Source organism: Homo sapiens, chromosome 3 (genome assembly GCF_000001405.40).
Source record: "Homo sapiens chromosome 3, GRCh38.p14 Primary Assembly".
In the NCBI taxonomy this organism is placed as follows: Eukaryota; Metazoa; Chordata; class Mammalia; order Primates; family Hominidae; genus Homo; species Homo sapiens.
In genome coordinates this window covers 183,929,510-183,948,161 of record NC_000003.12, presented here as the reverse complement: position 1 = coordinate 183,948,161, position 18,652 = coordinate 183,929,510, and the positions used below count along the sequence as shown (strand labels likewise).

Genomic DNA, 18,652 nt, shown 5'->3' with positions numbered 1-18,652 from the left:
TAGTCGTACATGGTGCACTGAGCCTTCAGAGGGGTCTGGTCTGCTCTCTGGGACCCCTACTGATGGCCGTGCCATGCTCCTTCAGTAGCAGCAGTAAACATTGCCTGAGTCCCTTTTGCTGTGGTTTAGCTTGCTTCTCCTGGTGCTTGGCTCCATAGCTGGGGAACAAGTGCCATTCTGCATGGTGGCGGCATGTGCACACACTTATGGTGTTCCCATATTCACTCTGAGTTTCTTTTTCCTCGCCTTGAACCATTTCTGCTGTTGGCGTTTGTAACCTTTCCTTCTTTCAGAAAATGCCTTCTGACCTAAGATATTTTTCTAAAGTTTAACACAAGCCTCTTTATTCAGTCTCTTTTCCCATGTTTACTCTGTGCTGAGATAGATGTTTTCCATAACATCTTTAATAGGATTTTTTTTTGTTTTTAAAGAGTAACTAAGATTAGAAAAACTTAATGTCCTCCTATGCATGCGGCCTAGAATACCTCCAGAATTCCTAGAATACCCTCCTGGAGTTTCCAGGGCATTCTCTCAGTTAGAAACAGGAAGTATTTAAATACGTGCCCTCCATCATCTGATTCGCTGAAGCTTTGTCCATGCGCGGGGTTGTGTAGTACTTTCTTTGCCCATTAAGTGTTGTCTTTCTCACAGATACCAGGAGCTGCTGGATGACAACCAAGCTCCTTTTTTTTTGTTTACGTGTGCGATGCGGTGGCTGGCTGTGCGGCTGGACCTCATCAGCATCGCCCTCATCACCACCACGGGGCTGATGATCGTTCTTATGCACGGGCAGATTCCCCCAGCCTATGCGGGTCTCGCCATCTCTTATGCTGTCCAGGTCAGTCTCTGGGATAGGAGCGTCATCTTTGCTTGTTTGAGCCCTTCCTCTGCTGACGTAAAAGAGGGATGATTGTGGGGGGCTCCACCCTGAGCCATTATTTCACCTCTGGACCCCTAGAATTGCTCATGGTCTGATTTGACCGTAACAATCTGGATTTGACTGGGGCAGGTAGGGATAGGAGAGAGGTAAGTGTGGAATCCAGGAATAAAGGAATCGAACTCTGTTGCATGTGTGTGAGAAGTAGATGCTGTTTTCTTCAAAAAGAAATATGATCTTGAAAATAGTTTCTTAATTGTGGGTTTCTGTGTTCACCACCATTTCATCTCTGGCCTCTTTCTAGTCTTCTAAGAAATGTTATAGACTCAATATGCTTCTTACGTGCATTTTCTTCTCAGGGCCCTGATTTTCCCAATACTGTTATATACATAAAACCTTCTAGCCCCTAGGGGTGATTGAGGGTCTTCAAATAGCTCAGAGAATAGTTGAGAACTTGAGCACTGACTAGATATTTTAAGATGTTGAGTGATTATTATTACCCTCTAAAATAATGGTATTGGAATTATGTTTTTAAGGAGTCTATATTTTAGAGAGGTACAAGCTGAAATATTTGGATGAGATAAGCTCTCTGCGATTTGCTTCCAAATAATATGGGGGGTGGGGGTAGGAATGGAAGGGAATACAGATGAAACAATATTGACTGTAAGTTGATCATTTTTATGGTAGAGTTTTGGTACCTGGGAGTTCATTATACTACTCTTTCTACTCTTGTGTGTTTGACATTTTTCTTTATTGAAAAGATAAAAATAAATAGTCAAAGGAACCCCAGAGATATGTGTCTTCACAGATACCCCGAGATGTCCAGCCACATTTTGCAATTTACTTGACAACTGGTTGGGGAAGACAATGCATTATATAGACTGTTTTTAGACTCCGCAGTCTATGGAGCACAGGGGCTCCAGACTCACTCATTTCCCAGCATTATGTATCTGATTTGACTTTCCTGGAAACATTCTTACTAGTTGCTCATAGGTTGATATCTCCATTTGTTGTGACTCCCACAAACAGGCTCAGATACAAGTAGGAAGTCCAGAAGTGAATCAGTTGCAGATATGTGTTATTGGAAATGTAAAGATGAATAGAAAGGCTTTGGGTACAAGGAAGTGGTTCCAGCAGTGCCATGATACTGCCCGCATTCACTGAGCATTGCAGTTGATGGGGTAACAGGTATGCCTTAAAAGCCAAGAGAATGACTAGGTCCCTAAGACCAGCTGCTGCATGTGCTCAGTTCTTAGTAGTCCTCTAGATGAAGGAAGTTCTCCAGCATTGGCCTGGCGTGTATTGATAATGAATTATCTCTTTGATTGTTGTTTTCCATTATCAGTTAACGGGGCTGTTCCAGTTTACGGTCAGACTGGCATCTGAGACAGAAGCTCGATTCACCTCGGTGGAGAGGATCAATCACTACATTAAGGTCAGACTGCTGTAGGCCTTTTACCGTGATCTGACTCCTCTTGGAGTCGGTTTACCCTTTGCTGCCTCAGCTGGGTGTACAAGGAGGAGGCTTGTGTTCTCTGCCTATCTAATCCCACAGAATCTCCAGCAATCTCTCAACCGTGCTTGGAATGGGAAAGAGATTACCGTAAGAGTTTCTAAGTATATTTGTAAATTATGTCGAGCTGAGAACTTCATTGGCTAATTTCCAGAATGTTCAGAACCTTGTCAGTTCAGCTTAACTGACTAATGGAGCATTTTCCTTACACTGTTTAAAACCATGTATTGTTTTAATTCTTACTATGTCCAATTGTTCTTAATCAGGGATGGCCATCAGGACCCCCTGCTGAGCTTTTGGCAGGACAAACGTGGCCTCATCTCTGGATTCTGTTGCAGTGGATTGGGGTGGGACCCAGGCTTCTATAGTTTGAAAAGCTCCATAGCGAATTCTAAACTGCTCTCCCAACTTACAAACGAGTAAATTTAATTGATACCAGAGTATCCAGCTCTTCCCACCTTTCCCCAGGAACCCCTTCCGTCTTGCCGTGGGTGGCAGGCATCTTGCTGCTGTCCTAACTGGCACTCTTAAACAATTTCCTACAGGGATGTCTTAATCCATTTCACACTGCTGTAAAGAACTACCTGAGATTGGGTAATTTATGAAGAAAGAGGTTTAAGTCACTCACAGTTCCGAAGGCTTAACAGGACGCATGGCTGGGAGGCCTCAGGAAACTTACAATCATAGCGAAAGGTGAAGGGGAAACAAGCACATCTTCCCATGGCAGAGCAGGAGAGAGAGAGAAGGGGGAAGTGCCACACACTTTCAAACAACCAGATCTCCTGAGAACTCACTGTCACGGGAACAGCAAGGGGGAAGTCCACCCCCCTGATTCAGTCATCTGCCACCAGGCCTCTCCCCTCACACATGGGGATTATTATACAATTCGAGATGAGATTTGGGTGGGAACACAGAGCCAAACCACATCAAGGGGTGTCCAATCATTTGGCTTCCCAGGGCCACATTGGAAGAAGAATTGTCTCAGGCCACACATAAAATAATACTAACGATAGCTGATGAGCTTAAAAAAAAAGATGGCAAAAAAAAGTCTCATAATATGTTAAGAAAGTTGACGAATTTGTGTTGGGCCACATTCAAAGCTGTCCTGGGCTGCATGTGGCTCAAGGGCCACAGATTGGACAAATTTGCTTATAAAGAAGCAGCATCATGAGTAGTTAGATTCTCAAATTGAACTCAATTCTTAAGAGTTATCTATTTTATTGAACTGCTGTGAGACTTTACAAGCATCTGTGTCATTGTTTATATGTGAAGAGTATATTCTGAGTTCCCAACACTTGACTTTGAAACATAGTTTTGAAAAGTTAGCTTTTTTTCTTTTTTTCCTTTTTTAATTTATTTTTTATTTTTTTATTTTTTTTGAGAGAGGGTCTTATTGTCACCCAGGCTTGAGTGCAGTGGCATGAATACGGCTCAGTCCAGCCTCGATCTCCCAGGCTCAAGTGATCCTCCCACCTCAGCCCCGCCAAGTAACTGGGACTACAGGCATGCGCCACTAGGCCCAGCTCATTTTTGTATTTTTTGTAGAGATAGGTTTCGCCATGTTGTCCCGGCTGGTCTCAAACTCCTGGGCTCAAGCGATCTGCCTCTGCCTCCACCTCCCAAAATGCTGGGATTATAGACAGGAGCCATAGTGTCCGGCCTGAAAAATTACTCTTTCAATTGGGAACTGAGTGTACGTAAACTGGATTCTCTAATAGAGATGTGCTTCACTGATTGTTTTGACAGTGAGCCTCATTAGTGGTAGAATATTTCTTAAGCTTACAAATGAATAACTTTCTTATTCTCAGAAAGGATGGCAGGTGGCTGCCCAGTGTATCTAGTAATAGCTCTTCTTTCATGTTTAGAAGTTAGCCTCTTTGCACACTGTCCTGGTGTGTAGATGACCCGTGTGTGTACATATGTGCAGTGTTTGAGTTAATGTTATGGTTGGCGAGAGCCTTGTGCTGGAGAGGTTAGGATTACGGTCAGTGGTGGTACAAAGTGGACCCTGCTGAAACCGGTCACATTTCAGAGGCCTGCCCTCCCACTGACTGTCCCAACACAGAGTCCTTCCAGCTTGGAGTTTTAGACTTTAGGCTTAACCCCCCAGAGTGCTACAGTCTTTGGCCCTTACTTCCCCCCATAAGGCTATATACTCCATGGCCAATTGCCAGAGAGTTTTAAAAGATCATGAGATATGATTGTTGATGATAAAAATTACCCAAGCAGTTATATCACAGCATTTTGAGCTGGAATAGATTCTCAAGATCATCTAATCCAGTCCCCACAATTTGCAGATAAGAAACTAAGATGCAGAAGAAGTGGTGATCTGTCCAGGTCACACAGTGGCAAAATTAGAATTAGAGTCTGTGTCTCCTGGATTGACCAAGACATGCCAGAATGCCAGGATCCAATCAGATGTTCAGTAAATATTAGTTTTCTTCCTTTGGATTTAAGCCAATGATTATCAAATGGTAGAATCCTATCTCAAAGAATTTCAGTAAAAACTGCTGTGGTGGAGGGGTGGAAGGCCTCATGTCTGCCCGTGTTGGTTTTCCTTTGGCCCCCAAGGCAGCTTTGTGGAATAGTTCCTTGAGACAAAAGGTAGTCTGAACACCACTTCCCTCCCCAGGCTGCTGCTAGTAGCCATGACACTTAGCCATTGTGCTCTGTCTCTGTCGAGTTTAGTGATGATAAGCATTTACTTCCAAGGGATTCTTTCCTAGCAAGGTGACAGGGTGGCAGCTACCTCTGTGTGGCTACTATGGTTGTCCTGGTTTTATTTCTCTGTGACAAAGCCTGCAGCTCCCCAAGAATCTGTGGTCAGTCTGAACTGGCCACCCTTGTCTCCCCAGACTCTGTCCTTGGAAGCACCTGCCAGAATTAAGAACAAGGCTCCCTCCCCTGACTGGCCCCAGGAGGGAGAGGTGACCTTTGAGAACGCAGAGATGAGGTACCGAGAAAACCTCCCTCTCGTCCTAAAGAAAGTATCCTTCACGATCAAACCTAAAGAGAAGATTGGCATTGTGGGGCGGACAGGATCAGGTAAGGATGTGCAAAGCCTTCTTTGAATCCATTGGAACGTAGCAGTTTATGAAATATCACTTTCACCCCTTTAAACCGGATCCTTGTTTGTTTGATGAGCAATTAGTGTCTCAGCCCCCTACTGAAACCAATTTTCTAGGTTTATTGTTGACCCCACTTTGATGACATTGAGTGCTTTTCACAGTCATAAATGTGCACATTCTCAATGCAGAACACTGGGGCACACAGCCAAGTACGAAAGAGGAGCAGCACCCACAACTCTGCTACCCAGAGAGAAGCACTGGTAACATTTTGGTAGCTATCTTGTTAGGCTTCCTCTAGTAATATGTAGGTTTACAAAAATGAGGTCATTGACACATGCTGTTTCATGGCCTTCTTTTAAAACTATCAGTAGGCTGGGCGCAGTGGCTCATGCCTGTAATCCCAGCACTTTGGGAGGGCGAGGCGGGTGGATCACCTGAGGAGTTCAACACCAGCCAGAACAACATGGTGAAACCCCGTCTCTACTAAAAGTCCAAAATTAGCCAGGTGTGGTGGCACATGCTTGTAATCCCAGCTACTTGGGAGGCTGAGGCAGGAGAATGGCGTGAACCTGGGAGGCGGAGGTTGCAGTGAGCCAAGATCACGCCACTACACTCCAACCTGGGTGACAGAGCGAGACTCCGTCTCAAAAAAAAAAGAAAAGAAATGCGTAACTGTAGATCCTTTAGATTTCTAGGGTCAGGACTTGAGTAATTTACTTCTTTTTTTTTTTGAGACAAAGTCTCACTCTGTTGCCAGGCTGGAGTGCAGTAGCACGATCTCAGCTCACTGTAACCTCCACCTCCCAGGTTCAAGCGATTCTCCTGCCTCAGCCTCTCACGTAGCTGGGACTACAGGGGCGCCAGCTAATTTTTTTGTATTTTTAGTAGAGACAGGGTTTCACCATGTTGGCCAGGACGGTCTCGATTTCCTGACCTCATGATCCACCCGCCTCAGCCTCTGAAAGTGCTGGGATTACAGGTGTGAGCCATCGCACCCGGCCCCTTTTTTCTCACTTTCGTTCCTGAATTGCATTCCAAAGACTGAACTTGTCTTCTTTTACTGTCCTTTTTATCCTTGTATAAGAGGTATCTTTGATTCAGTTTTCATTAGTTTTCTAGGCTCCATGCTTCTTTGGCATCAAAACTCTTCTAGCTTTTTTCCTTGCCATTAAAAAAAAAAAAACCTTTTGTCTTTTCTGGCCAATTGATTTTAAAGAACTTTCTAAGGAAGAAAAGGAAAAAGCCATTTCCTGCTTTCTGTTTGAGGGAATTACTTCACGTCAAAACAAGACATTGCTCCAGGTCTTTCATGCTGGAAGGGAATCTTTAGCCAAGCAGGGTGACTCTCCCCAAGCCTTTTTACTGTTCTCTCCCTTGAGCCCATCTGCTGCATTCGTCCCCAGGGGTACACTGCTCCCCTGAAAGCTGACTGATGTCCTTTGTTATGATTTCCCTTTAACACAGGTGAGATAGGCCAAAACAAGCACCACAACTTCATTAAACAGTAGTTAGTGACAGAAGAGAAACAAGAAAAAGAACATAGTGGCCAGGTGCAGTGGCTCACGCCTGTAATCCCAGCACTCTGGGAGGCCCAGGCTGGTGGATCACCTGACGTCAGGAGTTCAAGACCAGCCTGGCCAACATGGTGAAACCTCATCTCTACTAAAAATACAGAAAGTTAGCTGGGCGTGGTGGTGGATGCCTGTAATTCCAGCTACTCGGGAGGCTGAAGCAGGAGAATCTCTTGAACCCAGGAGGCGGAGGTTGCAGTGAGCTGAGATTGCGCTATTGCCCTCCAGCCTGAGCAACAAGAGCGAAACTCCATCTCAAATAATAATAATAATAATAATAATAACCTGATTTACACTCCGGTTCTAATAGGGCTTCTTCCAAGTTTCACGGGTAACTTGGAAACTCTCCTGTGGTCATGTCAGTCAAGGACACCATCTTGAGGACTTCACTGCCTTTCTTACCAGCACATTCCATCAGTGCAAAGGTAGTCAGATTCAGAGGACTCTAAAGTCTTCCAGTCCAGGTGGTCCAAACCTAGGCACCTTTTGTTAAACTGGAACAACTTGACCCATTGTTTCGGGCACCATTCCTTCCTTAGCTTAGATCTTAAAGCCCTGCCTCGGCCCAGAGGGAATGTCTCCTCCCCTCCTATCTGGGAAAGGGGCCAGTAACTGAGTCCCCCAACCCTGAACAGAGTCATTCATTTTTTTTTTTTTTTTTTTTTTTTTTCCTGAGACAGAGTCTCAGTCTGTTGCCCAGGCTAGAGTGCAGTGGTGCAATCTCGGCTCTGGAGTAGCTGGGATTACAGGCACATGCCACCATGCCCAGCTAATTTTTTTTTTTTTTTGTATTTTTTAGTAGAGACAGGGTTTTGCCATGTTTGCCAGGCTGGTCTCAAACTCCTGGCCTCAAGTAATCCACCCACCTTGGCCTCCCAAAGTGCTGGGATTACAGGTGTGAACCGCTGCGCCCACCGGCCTGGAGTCACTCATTTCTAGGAGGAGAACTATCCTGCTAGACGGACCAGGTTTCCTAACTCGTTTCTGGTAGAAGGATGTGAGGATTGTTGCATTAGGAAGATGGGTCCTAATACAGCTTTTTCCAAGTTTCCTGGGCGTTACTTCTTCCAAGTCTTATGGGTGTTTTTCAGGTTCCCATTAGGCTGTTAGACAGAGGTATGCCCAGGGGGTAGATCCCGACAGTGGGGTCGTGGCTGTAGACACTGGGGCAAGGCAGGCTGTTTGCGCCCTCCATGAGTGCTGAAGAGACAGCATCGTGGTGATCTCGATGAGGCCCTCACAAGAGGTCTTTCATGACATGGTGGCACGAGAAAGGTAGGAGGGTCAAGAACCAGGCGTACAGCCAAGGAAAAGTGATTCAACAGCTAAAACCCTGTAGTTCTAAATCTAAACCATGGAACCAAGTTGCAGAAAGGTAGACAGGACTATGGCAAACTTCTTTTCTTTTTGGCTCTGTAGAGAGAGCACCTTTTAAATGTTTATATCCTTTGACACAGTAATTTCAGTTCTAAGATTCTTTCCCAAGGAAATTGTCTGAGGTGGCAGTAAAGTTTCAGCACTAAGATAATAGGACATAACATTATTATAAGTTTTACATAAACTAAATGTTGACCCTTAGAGGGCTGGCTGAACAAGAATACATGCACATGATGGAATGCAACCACTAAAATTTTATCTTGAAAATTTTTTTAAAAGATGGTTGACTGAGTGTTATACAATGCTTTTGTTTTGTTTTGTTTGAAACAGAGTCTCGTTCTGTCGCCCAGGCTGGAGTGCAATGATACGATCTTGGCTCACTGCAACCTCCGCCTCCCAGGTTCAAGTGATTCTCCTGCCTTAGCTTCCCAAGTACCTGGGATTACAGGCACTCGCCATCTTGCCCAGCTAATTTTTGTATTTATAGTAGAGACAGGGTTTCACCATGTTGGCCAGGTTGGTCTCGAACTCCTGACCTCAGGTGATCTGCCCGCCTCAGCCTCCCAAAGTGCTGGGATTACAGGCATGAGCCACCGTGCCCGGCCAATGCAGTGTTAAGTGAAAAAAGCAATTACAATATTGCATTTCTGATATGATCTCAACTCTGAGGAAAGACCGAAAGGAAGTGTGCCTAAAATGATAGAAGTGAGATTATGGGAGATTGATGATGTCATCTCGTATTACTTATGTAAACTTTTCAAATGAAGATTTGGTTAACCTGTTCTGCTGATTACTGTAATAACACTGATCCCCCAAACCTGCTTCTCTGCCATAGTTTCCTATCACAGTAGGGCCATTGACAGCTACTCATTGAGTCGAGGCAAAACCTCCTTCCCGTATGTGTTTATTTATCCCTGGAACTTCTTCAATTCCCCAGCTGCTGCTGTGGCAACAGGAGGCCTTGTCTTAGTCTCTCTCTCAGCCCTAATAAGGGGGTAGGGAGAAAAAAGACATCTTGTCCTCTGGTTTGCCCCTCAACTGCTTGCTGTAAGATCTCTGTTCTCCTAACTTTGCCTAAGAAGCATTCAGCTCTGTGCACCTGTTCCTAAGGTGACCAGGAGGCATTTTTCCATTTTACTCTCATGAAAATGGAATGGTCAGCCAGGCGCGGTGGCTCACGCCTGTAATCCCAGCATTTTGGGAGGCCAAGGTGGGCGGATCACGAGATCAGGAGTTTGAGACCAACCTGGCCAATATGGTGAAACCCCATCTCTACTAAAAATACAAAAATTATCTGGGCATGGTGACGCGTGCCTGTAGTTCCAGCTACTTGAGAGGCTGAGGCAGAAGAATCACTTGAACCCAGGAGGCAGAGGTTGCAGTGAGCCGAGATCGCACCACCGCACTCCAGCCTGGGCAGCAGAGTGAGACTCCGTCTCAAAAAAAAAAATGAAAATGGAATGGTCCCTTCCCTTCCTTCTCAGGCTGAAGCTGTGTAATTTGAAGGTGTCTGCCTGGTATCTCAGGAAAGTTAATTGCATTTTTCTATCATTTTATACATTATCTCAGTTAATCAGTTGAAATAACAACTGAATAGAAATGGAAAAATAGTTGGCATTGCCCTGAGGCTAAACCAGCATTGTCCTCACAGACTTTGCTAACAGCTCCTCTCTTGCATGTCTTCTGACTCATCAGGGAAGTCCTCGCTGGGGATGGCCCTCTTCCGTCTGGTGGAGTTATCTGGAGGCTGCATCAAGATTGATGGAGTGAGAATCAGTGATATTGGCCTTGCCGACCTCCGAAGCAAACTCTCTATCATTCCTCAAGAGCCGGTGCTGTTCAGTGGCACTGTCAGGTGAGGACCTGAGCACCTGCATGTCTCGTGCGTCACTTAGAGGCCAGATGAGCATGTGGGACCACATGATGCTAGCACCGCCCCCTGGGACCATGAGCTCACCATCTCTAGTCTGGTGCTTTTCCCACTGCACCATGTGCTTGCTGGTGCAGAAGGGAGAGGCAGCACCACTCACAATGCCACTTGGTTGACTGAAGGGTGCAGGGAGGCCTGCAACACAGTGCTGAAGAGGCCAGAGAGGTCTGGGCCCAGGGCTCTGCTCCGTGACTTCGGACAAGTTATTTAACCACTCCTGTGCCTGTTTCCTCAACCATAAGATGGGGATGCTTTAAAGACCTGTTGCTGTGAAGGTTGAATAAGTTCATGTAAATTATATAAGCACAGGGCCTGGCAAATGGTAAGCATTCAGCAAATGGTGGCTGCTGTCATCAGCCTCATTGACATCATCCTCATCTGCCCCCCACTCCATTCTGTCATCTCTCCTAGGTGCGCTGAAAGTTGCAGTTTTTTTGTTCTGTTTGTTTGAGATGGAGTCTCACTCTGTCACCCAGGCTGAAGTGCAGTGGCACGATCTTGACTCACGGCAACCTCCGCCTCCTGGGTTCAAGTGATTCTCCTGCCACAGCCTCCCGAATAGCTGGGATTACAGGCGCCCTCCCCCAGGCCCAGCTAATTTTTGTATTTTTAGTAGAGATGAGGTTTCACCATGTTGGCCAGGCTGGCCTTGAACGCCTGACCTCAAGTGATCCACCCGCCTCGGCCTCCCAAAGTGCTGGGATTACAGGCGCGAGCCACTGCACCTGGCCAAAAGTTCCAGTTCCAATGGTGGCTTTCAGGCATTATTACTACTCATGTTATTTCATTTTCTACTATCTTCCCCTACCTTTGATACTCTGGAATTATGTCACTTTTTGAAATCTGCCAGGTTGCCAGAGATAAAATCCTTCTTCTTGGCCTATTAAAACAGTCCAAGGAGAAAGCATCACATTATCTTTCCTAAGCTTACCTGATCCTACCCTTAGCCTTAAGCTTCAGCCTCCTGAAAACAGTGGATTTCCATCATTTGTGTCCCTGTCTATTAAAAAATCATTCTGGCCTGGCACGGTGGCTCACGCCTGTAATCCCAACACTTTGGGAGGCCAATGCGGGCGGATCACGAGGTCAGGAGATTGAGATCATCCTGGCTAACACGGTGAAACCCCGTCTCTACTAAAAAATACAAAAAATTAGCCGGGCGTGGTGGTGGGCGCCTGTAGTCCCAGCTACTTGGGAGGCTGAGGCAGGAGAATGGTGTGAACCCGGGAGGCAGAGCTTGCAGTGAGCTGAGATCATGCCACTGCACTGTAGCCAGGGTGACAGAGTGAGACTCCATCTCAAAAAAAAAAAAATCATTCTAAAAGTAATTTTTAGCAGTTTTCAGAAAAATTGGTACCAACCTAATTTCAAATAATCATAGGCAGTGTTCAGACTTGTTTTAAAACTATCCCCTCCACCTTTGGAAATGGCATTTTGAACTCAAGGAACTTTGGTAGATATCTTAGTCTGCTCAGGCTGCTGTATATACCAACATACCATAGACTGGGTGGCTTAAACAACAGAAATTTATTTCTCTCAGTTCTGGAGGCTGGGAAGGCCGGGGATGGGTGTCTGCTGAGGGCCGTCTTCCTGGTTTGCAGATGGTTGTCTTGTTCTGTCCTCATGTGGCCTTTCCTCGGTGTGTGCCTGTGGTGCATGCCTGTGGTGTGTGCCCGCGGAAAGGAGAGCTCTTGTGTCTCCTCTTCTTGAGGCCCCACCCTCATGATCTCATCTAAACCTAATCTCCTCCTTACAGCCCCACCTCCAAACACCATCACATTGGGGTCAGTGTTTCAACAGTTTAATTCTAGGGGCACACAAACCTGTAGTCCATAGCAGTAAATCAGCAGAATTCTCACCTGTGTTTGTGTAGTGTCAACACCCTAGAGTATGTTTATTTTGGTGTTTCTGTAATTGAATCTGGACAGCATGCACTGTATCTGTGGTTGATAATAAACCATTCTCTTTGGGTATTGAGGTAATAAGGTCAGACAAGCAATATCAGAAGAAAATTAGAATTTATTGGTCAGGCGTGGTGGCTCACGCCTGTAATGCCAGCACTTTGGGAGGGCTAGGTGGGCGGATCACCTGAGGTCAGGAGTTCGAGACCAGCCTGGCCAACATGGCGAAACCCTGTCTCTACTAAATTAGCCAGGTGTGGTGGCCCATGCTTGTGGTCCCAGCTACTCCAGAGCTCCAGAGGCTGAGGCAAGAGAATCACTTGAACCTGGGAGGCGGAGGTGGCAGTGAGCTGAGATCGTCCCACTGCACTCCAGCCTAGGTGACAGAGCGAGACTCTGTCTCAAAAGAAAATTAGAATTTATTGAAGATGAAAGCCTAAAAATAGGCCGAGTGCGGTGGCTCACACCTGTAATCCCAGCACTTTGGGAGGCTGAGGCGGGCGGATCACGAGGTCAGGAGTACCAGACCAGCCTGGCCAATATGCTGAAACCCCGTCTCTACTAAAAAATACAAAAATTAGCCAGTCTTGGTGGCACACACCTGTAGTCCCAGCTACACGGGAGGCTGAGGCAGGAGAATTGCTGGAACCTGGGAGGTGGAGGTTACAGTGTGCCGAGATCATGCCACTGCACTCCAGCCTGGACGACAGAGCGAGACTCCATCTCAAAAAAAGAAGCCATTGCTTGGCCAGGCGTGGTGGCTCATGCCTGTAATCCCAGCACTTTGGGAGGCCGAGGAGGGCGGATCACCTGAGGTCAGGAGTTTGAGACCAGCCTGGCTCTTCCCATAAATCTCCCTATTTTTAGATGCCACAGGAACACCTTGAAAAAAAAAATTGGCCTTACAATATTTGGCTTTGGCCATAAGAACTAGTTTTTTAAATCATCATTTGGAAGAGAATTAAGAAATAAAGCACGTTAAACTTGAGATTTCTTTTGAAACTGCTGCCACCAAGAAGCCTCAGTTTTAATTTAACAATTTTATAGCATTTCATTTGGGTTTGTGAAATGGGGGCTTCTAGAGTTAGTGGTTAACAACTGACCATGAGGCCAGGTGCGGTGGCTTATGCCTATAATCCCAGCACTTTGGGAGGCCGAGACGGAAGGATCACTTGAGCTCAGGAGTTCGAGACCACCCTGGGCAACATCGTGAGACGTCGTCTCTGCTTTTTTAAATTATATAAAATGTTAAAAGAAAAAGAATTGACCATGGGCGCGTGCAGCTGGTGTGGGTAGAACATCGTGCGCCTGTAGCTTTAGTAGAATTGGAACCATTTGTCTCCAGAGAAAGAAATGTTGACTGCTTTGTGGCTAGCTCAGTAGTTGGTACACTGCTGTCCTGGGTTTGTAGCTACTGAGCTTAGGTGCAGCTTAGGAAGTCAGCTGTGCAAAGTGAGAAAATCATTTCAGTTAAATTTTTGCCAGCTCTAATTTTGGCTTTTTAGTCTGTAGTAGACACTGAGGAAGAATTAAATGCTGGACTTGTCTTTTATCCCCTAAGGTTTCCTTTTATCCTCTCAGGTTTGTTACGGATCCCAGAGAATGTTCAGCTCTTGGTATTCTTTTGTTTTTGAGACAGAGTCTCGCTCTGTTGCCCAGGCTGGAGTTTCAGCTCACTGCAACCTCTGCCTCCTGGGTTCAAGTGATTTGCGTGCCTCAGCCTCCTGAGTCGCTGGGACCACAGGCATGGGCCACCATGCCCAGCTAATTTTTGTATTTTTAGTAGAGACGGGGTTTCACCATGTTGGCCAGGCTGGTCTCGAACTCCTGACCTCAGGTGATCTGCCCACCTCAGCCTCCCAAAGTGCTGGGATTACAGGTGTGAGCCACCGCGCCCAGCCAGTATTCTTTTGCTTTAGTTAGAAGATAGAAAGCCTATGATGAGTTTCCCAAGGCACAGGCAGGATAAATAAGCTGTTTCCTCAGCTGCCTCCTAGAGACTCTGAATCTGGAAACCGCGCCTCCACCACCATTAGCCAGTATTGAGGGTGGGTACCTCTTCTTGAGATACCTGTAAACAATTAAAACTTGAAAGGAATTCTTAGAGGAAAAGCAAGGTAAAACCAAAATCAAACCAACAAAACTCAGAAAGTCACAAGATAAAAATTGTTGAGTTGTTCTGTGTACAAATATAATCTAATCTAAATCATAGGCCAGATAATTTGGGACCACACCCCTTCCTTAGATTAGCCAGAATGTCATTCTAGTACCTGCATCCTGGCCCTCCTTTATCTGCCTGTGTGGGCTTGAGCTCTCCAGCCTGTGTTTCTGCAGCTCCCTATTGTTTTGCCCTCATGATTGCCTCCAAGAAGAGAGGCCCCTTTTCATCCAGGCCTTAAAACACTTTTGCTGGCCTCTGTCTCATGGCCCTAGCTTTCCCCACCTTCTCCCAGAGCTCCCTGTGCTTCCTGGACCCAGGAAACCCAGCCCTGGCCTCTGTCCTATCCCCCGCAGCTGGAGTGTTTTTCATCCTGAGGACTGTCTGGAGCCTGGCTAGGCTGACAGTGAGCTGTCCCCAGCTGTCACTCTGGTATGTCTCTTGAGTCTTCGTCCCCTGTGAGTGATGGGTACCTTGTCTACCCGGAGCACTTCTGCCTGGTGCCCATTCATTAGCAAGAAACAGTGTTCTCATTTCTTCTTCTTCAGGTGCCTTCTCCTTTTGATCTGCTCATTAAATTTTTTTTTTTTTTTTTTTTTTTGAGACAGTCTCGCTTTGTCACCTGGGTTGGAGTGCAGTGACATGATCTCTGCTCACTGCAGCCTCCACCTCCCAGGTTCAAGCAGTTCTCCTGCCTCAGCTTCCCCAGTAGCTGGGATTACAGGCACCTACTACCACACCTGGCTAATTTCTGTATTTTTAGTAGAGATGGGGTTTCACATAGTTGGCCAGGCTGGTGGTCTTGAACTCCTGACCTCAGGTGATCTGCCCACCTCGGCCTTCCAAAGTGCTGGGATTACAGCCATGAGCCACCATTCCCCACCTGTCATAACCATCTTAATTGTATTTAACAAATGCTCAAAACTTCATAAGACAGACACCATTGTTATGCATATTTTATTTTACCAAATAGTGAGGTTTCACTATATTGCCCAGGCTAGTCTTAAACTCCTGAGCTCAAGAGATTCTCCCACCTCTGCCTCCCAAAGTGCTGGGATTATAGGCATGAGATGCCGCCCTTGGCCATTATTCCTGTTTTATATAGATGATGAAACTGAAATCCAGAGAGTGAGAGTAATTTGCCCAAAGACACACAGCTAAAAGTGGCAGAGCTAGGATTTGAACCCAGGCTGGCCGGCTGGCTCTACTCATTACACTCACTGCATTGCCTCCTGAAGCGTGTGTCACGACCCCACTGTTAACCACGACCTTGATATTCCATCTCTCCAAAAAACAGTTAGACGTGCCTCTTTGTGGATCTTGACCTTTAGTTACATTTCTTTTCCCAGCATCTTCAAAGTCTCATCTGCCTTCCTCATCTCAAAAACGAAAAAAGAAAGTCACACAATCTATGCCGTTCTCTCTAGTATTTTTCATTTGCTCTACTTTTTCCTCTTAACTTTTTTCACCTAATCTGACTCTTAACAACTAAAAGCCAAAATCAGTCCGTATTTCTGCATACCTCAGAATAAGATTTCCTTTTGCTTCCTGATAGAAGAAGGTATGTGAGTCCCAAAATCTCCTGCTCTGAAAACCAAGGCTACTATGAAGCACCCAGCACAGATGACAGGGCAGCATGGTTTACTGCAGTGTTTTCTACTATACCGAGGGTGAATTGCTGTGTTGTCTCACACTTTGGGAGATATTCTTGGCTTCATTTAGCAGTGGTCAATGTTGACTATTGCTAAAAATAAAATATGAAGAACCAAAGATGAAAATGTACCTTTGGCAAGATCAGGACTCCAGGGGTTCTGATTGTTAAAAATAATTGCCCTCATGTTCAGACACTTTTCTATCCAATCACTTAACTGAATCCTTTTGATTAAGTGGATGCATAACTTTGCTTTCATTTCTGTCTGTGGGTCAGACCCAGGACCATCTGGCTTCTCTAATGAGGGGAGATATTTTTCCATTCCTGATTGAGCTCCCTGTTGAGGTTGGTCTGGTCTGCCTTACTGTGTACCACCTACGAGTGTATGCAAATATTCATTTTCTATCTGGAACCCATTGTTTAGTGGTCTGAGGCTCCTTCAGCTGGTGTGATGGACCTGGGTGAATTGAATGTTAAGCCTGGGCTGGGCACAGTGGCTCACGCCTGTAATCCCAACACTTTGGGAAGCCAAGGCGGATGGATCACCTGAGACCTGGAGTTCAAGACCAGCCTGGCCAACATGGCAAAACCCTATCTCTACCAAAAAATACAAAAGTTAGCCAGGTGTGGTGGCGCACACCTGTAGTCCCAGCTACTTGGGAGGCTGAGGCATGAGAATTGCTTGAACCTGGCGGGGCAGGGCAGGGGTTGCAGTGAGCTGAGATCATGCCACTGCACTCCAGCCTGGGTGACAGAGCAAGATTCTGTCTCAAAAAAAAAAAAAAAAAAAAGTTAAGCCTGTTGTCGTATTTGCCCATAGAAAATCTGATAGGGCCGGCTACTCAGTGGGCAGGAGACCGCGCTTTTGTGTACAGCAGTTCTCGCTTCTCCATGGTTTCACTTTCTGCAGTTTCAGTTACCCATGATCAACCAGGGTCCAAAAATATTACATACTATATTTTGCAAGAGACAGACCACAGTCAAATAATGTTCATTACAGCATATTGTTATAATTGCTTGATTTCATTATTGTTAATCTCTTACTGTGCCTAATTTATAAATTAAACTTTATCATAGGTATGTATATATAGGGGAAAAAAACATAGCATTTATACGGTTCAGTACTATTTGTGGTTTGAGGCATCCACCGGGGCTCCCTGGAGCATATCCTTGTGGATGAAAGGGGGCTCCATGCCTGCTCTTTGATCCAGAGGCATCTGATGGACTTACTTGCTGTATGTGTTTCCTGGGGCTGTCATAAACAGTTTAAGCCACAAACTGGATGGCTTCAAACAACAGAAATGTACTATCTCACAGTTCCGGGGGCTGGAAGTCTAAAATCAAAGTGTCATTTGGGCCATGCTGCCACTGAACCCTATAGGGAAGGACGCTTCCTTGCCTCTTCCAGCTTCTGGTAGTTGTGGCCATCTTTGGCATTCCTTGGCTTTGGATGCATCCCTCTGGCCTCTGCCTCCATTGTCACATGATGCCCTCCCAGTGTTTCTCTGCCTTCACGTGGCCATCTCTCATAAGGACCAGTCATATGGGATTAAGGGCCCACCCTTCTCTATTACTCTGGTATGACCTCATCTTAACTAATTACATCTGCAAATTACCCTATTTCCAAATAAGGTCACATTCTTAGGTACTTAGGTGTCTTTTGGGGAGACACAGGTCAACCCATTAAACTGTACCATATTAAACAACACTTCCTGGGCCAAGGGTAGTGAGAAGCGAGCATGTTCCAAGCGGGAAAAACGCCGTGCAAAGGGCAAGAGGCGCTGGAGAGCAAGGCGGGTCAGAATCTCCCAGGAGATCGAGAGATGCCCAGATAGCAGGAATGAGGCGGTGCCGGCCTGCTGTCCTCTCACTAGAGTTCTGTGATAATGACGTGATTGTATTTGCATGCCTGTAATTAGTAACCCCAGATATGGAGACAGGTGTGTGGCATAGAGTAAAAGTCCATGTTTCTCCCAGAGAGTTTCCTGTTTCCCACATGCCAGGCATAATTTTATGAGCAAAGCAAATATACTTTTCAGATTACTAGACCTCCAAATGTTATGTGTAGATCAAGACAAGCCGTCCAAAATTACTGTAACATCCCAGTTTTCCACCAAATACCTGTTCCACCACCAATTCTCCACCCTCATCCTCAGTGGCAAAGATAATTTTCTCCTGTCCTAAACATTTCTAGTCCTGGCCGGGCACAGTGGCTCATGCCTGTAATCCCAGCATTTTGGGAGGCCCAGGTAGGCTCATCACTTGAGCTTGAGCACTGGAATTTGAGACCAGCCTGGGCAACATGGCAAAACCCCATCTCTACAAAAAACACAAAAATTACGTGGCATGCGCCTGTAAAAAAAAAAATTTCTAGTCTCGTTCTTTTGGTATCAACTCTGATTTCCTTGAGGTAGATACTGTTGGCACAGTAAGCAAAAATGGTCCCCAAACTGGTCTTCTGTGCCAGGAAAATTCCTTTTTCTTGACTTGTCCTTTATTCTTTCTCTCCTTCTTCCTCTTCCCTTCTACTGGATCAGTTTCTTTCCCTGGTCAGGCCAGCTGTCCTGGAGCCCCATACTCAATTACAGGGTTGTGAACCAGGTAAA

At 45.9% G+C, this 18,652-nt stretch overlaps 1 protein-coding gene across 6 annotated transcripts in view, besides 1 other annotated feature; it reads left to right on the top strand.

Moving 5' to 3' along the window:
- Positions 1 to 18,652, top strand: part of ABCC5 (ATP binding cassette subfamily C member 5) — a 97,951-nt gene that overhangs the window by 69,723 nt on the left and 9,576 nt on the right. For all 6 annotated transcript variants that reach the window (NM_005688.4, NM_001320032.2, XM_005247059.6 and 3 more), the window contains 4 exons: positions 652 to 838; positions 2,223 to 2,312; positions 5,246 to 5,435; positions 10,102 to 10,261. In NM_005688.4, coding sequence (NP_005679.2) covers positions 652 to 838; positions 2,223 to 2,312; positions 5,246 to 5,435; positions 10,102 to 10,261 — 627 coding nt within the window. The remainder of the gene's footprint in view (positions 1 to 651; positions 839 to 2,222; positions 2,313 to 5,245; positions 5,436 to 10,101; positions 10,262 to 18,652) is intronic.
- Positions 3,168 to 3,257: an enhancer, noted in NCBI's record as "active region_20899". NCBI's record gives its function as "activates an Ori minimal core promoter by ATAC-STARR-seq in GM12878 lymphoblastoid cells {active_cell/tissue: GM12878}" and the evidence as "EXISTENCE:reporter gene assay evidence [ECO:0000049][PMID:35858748]".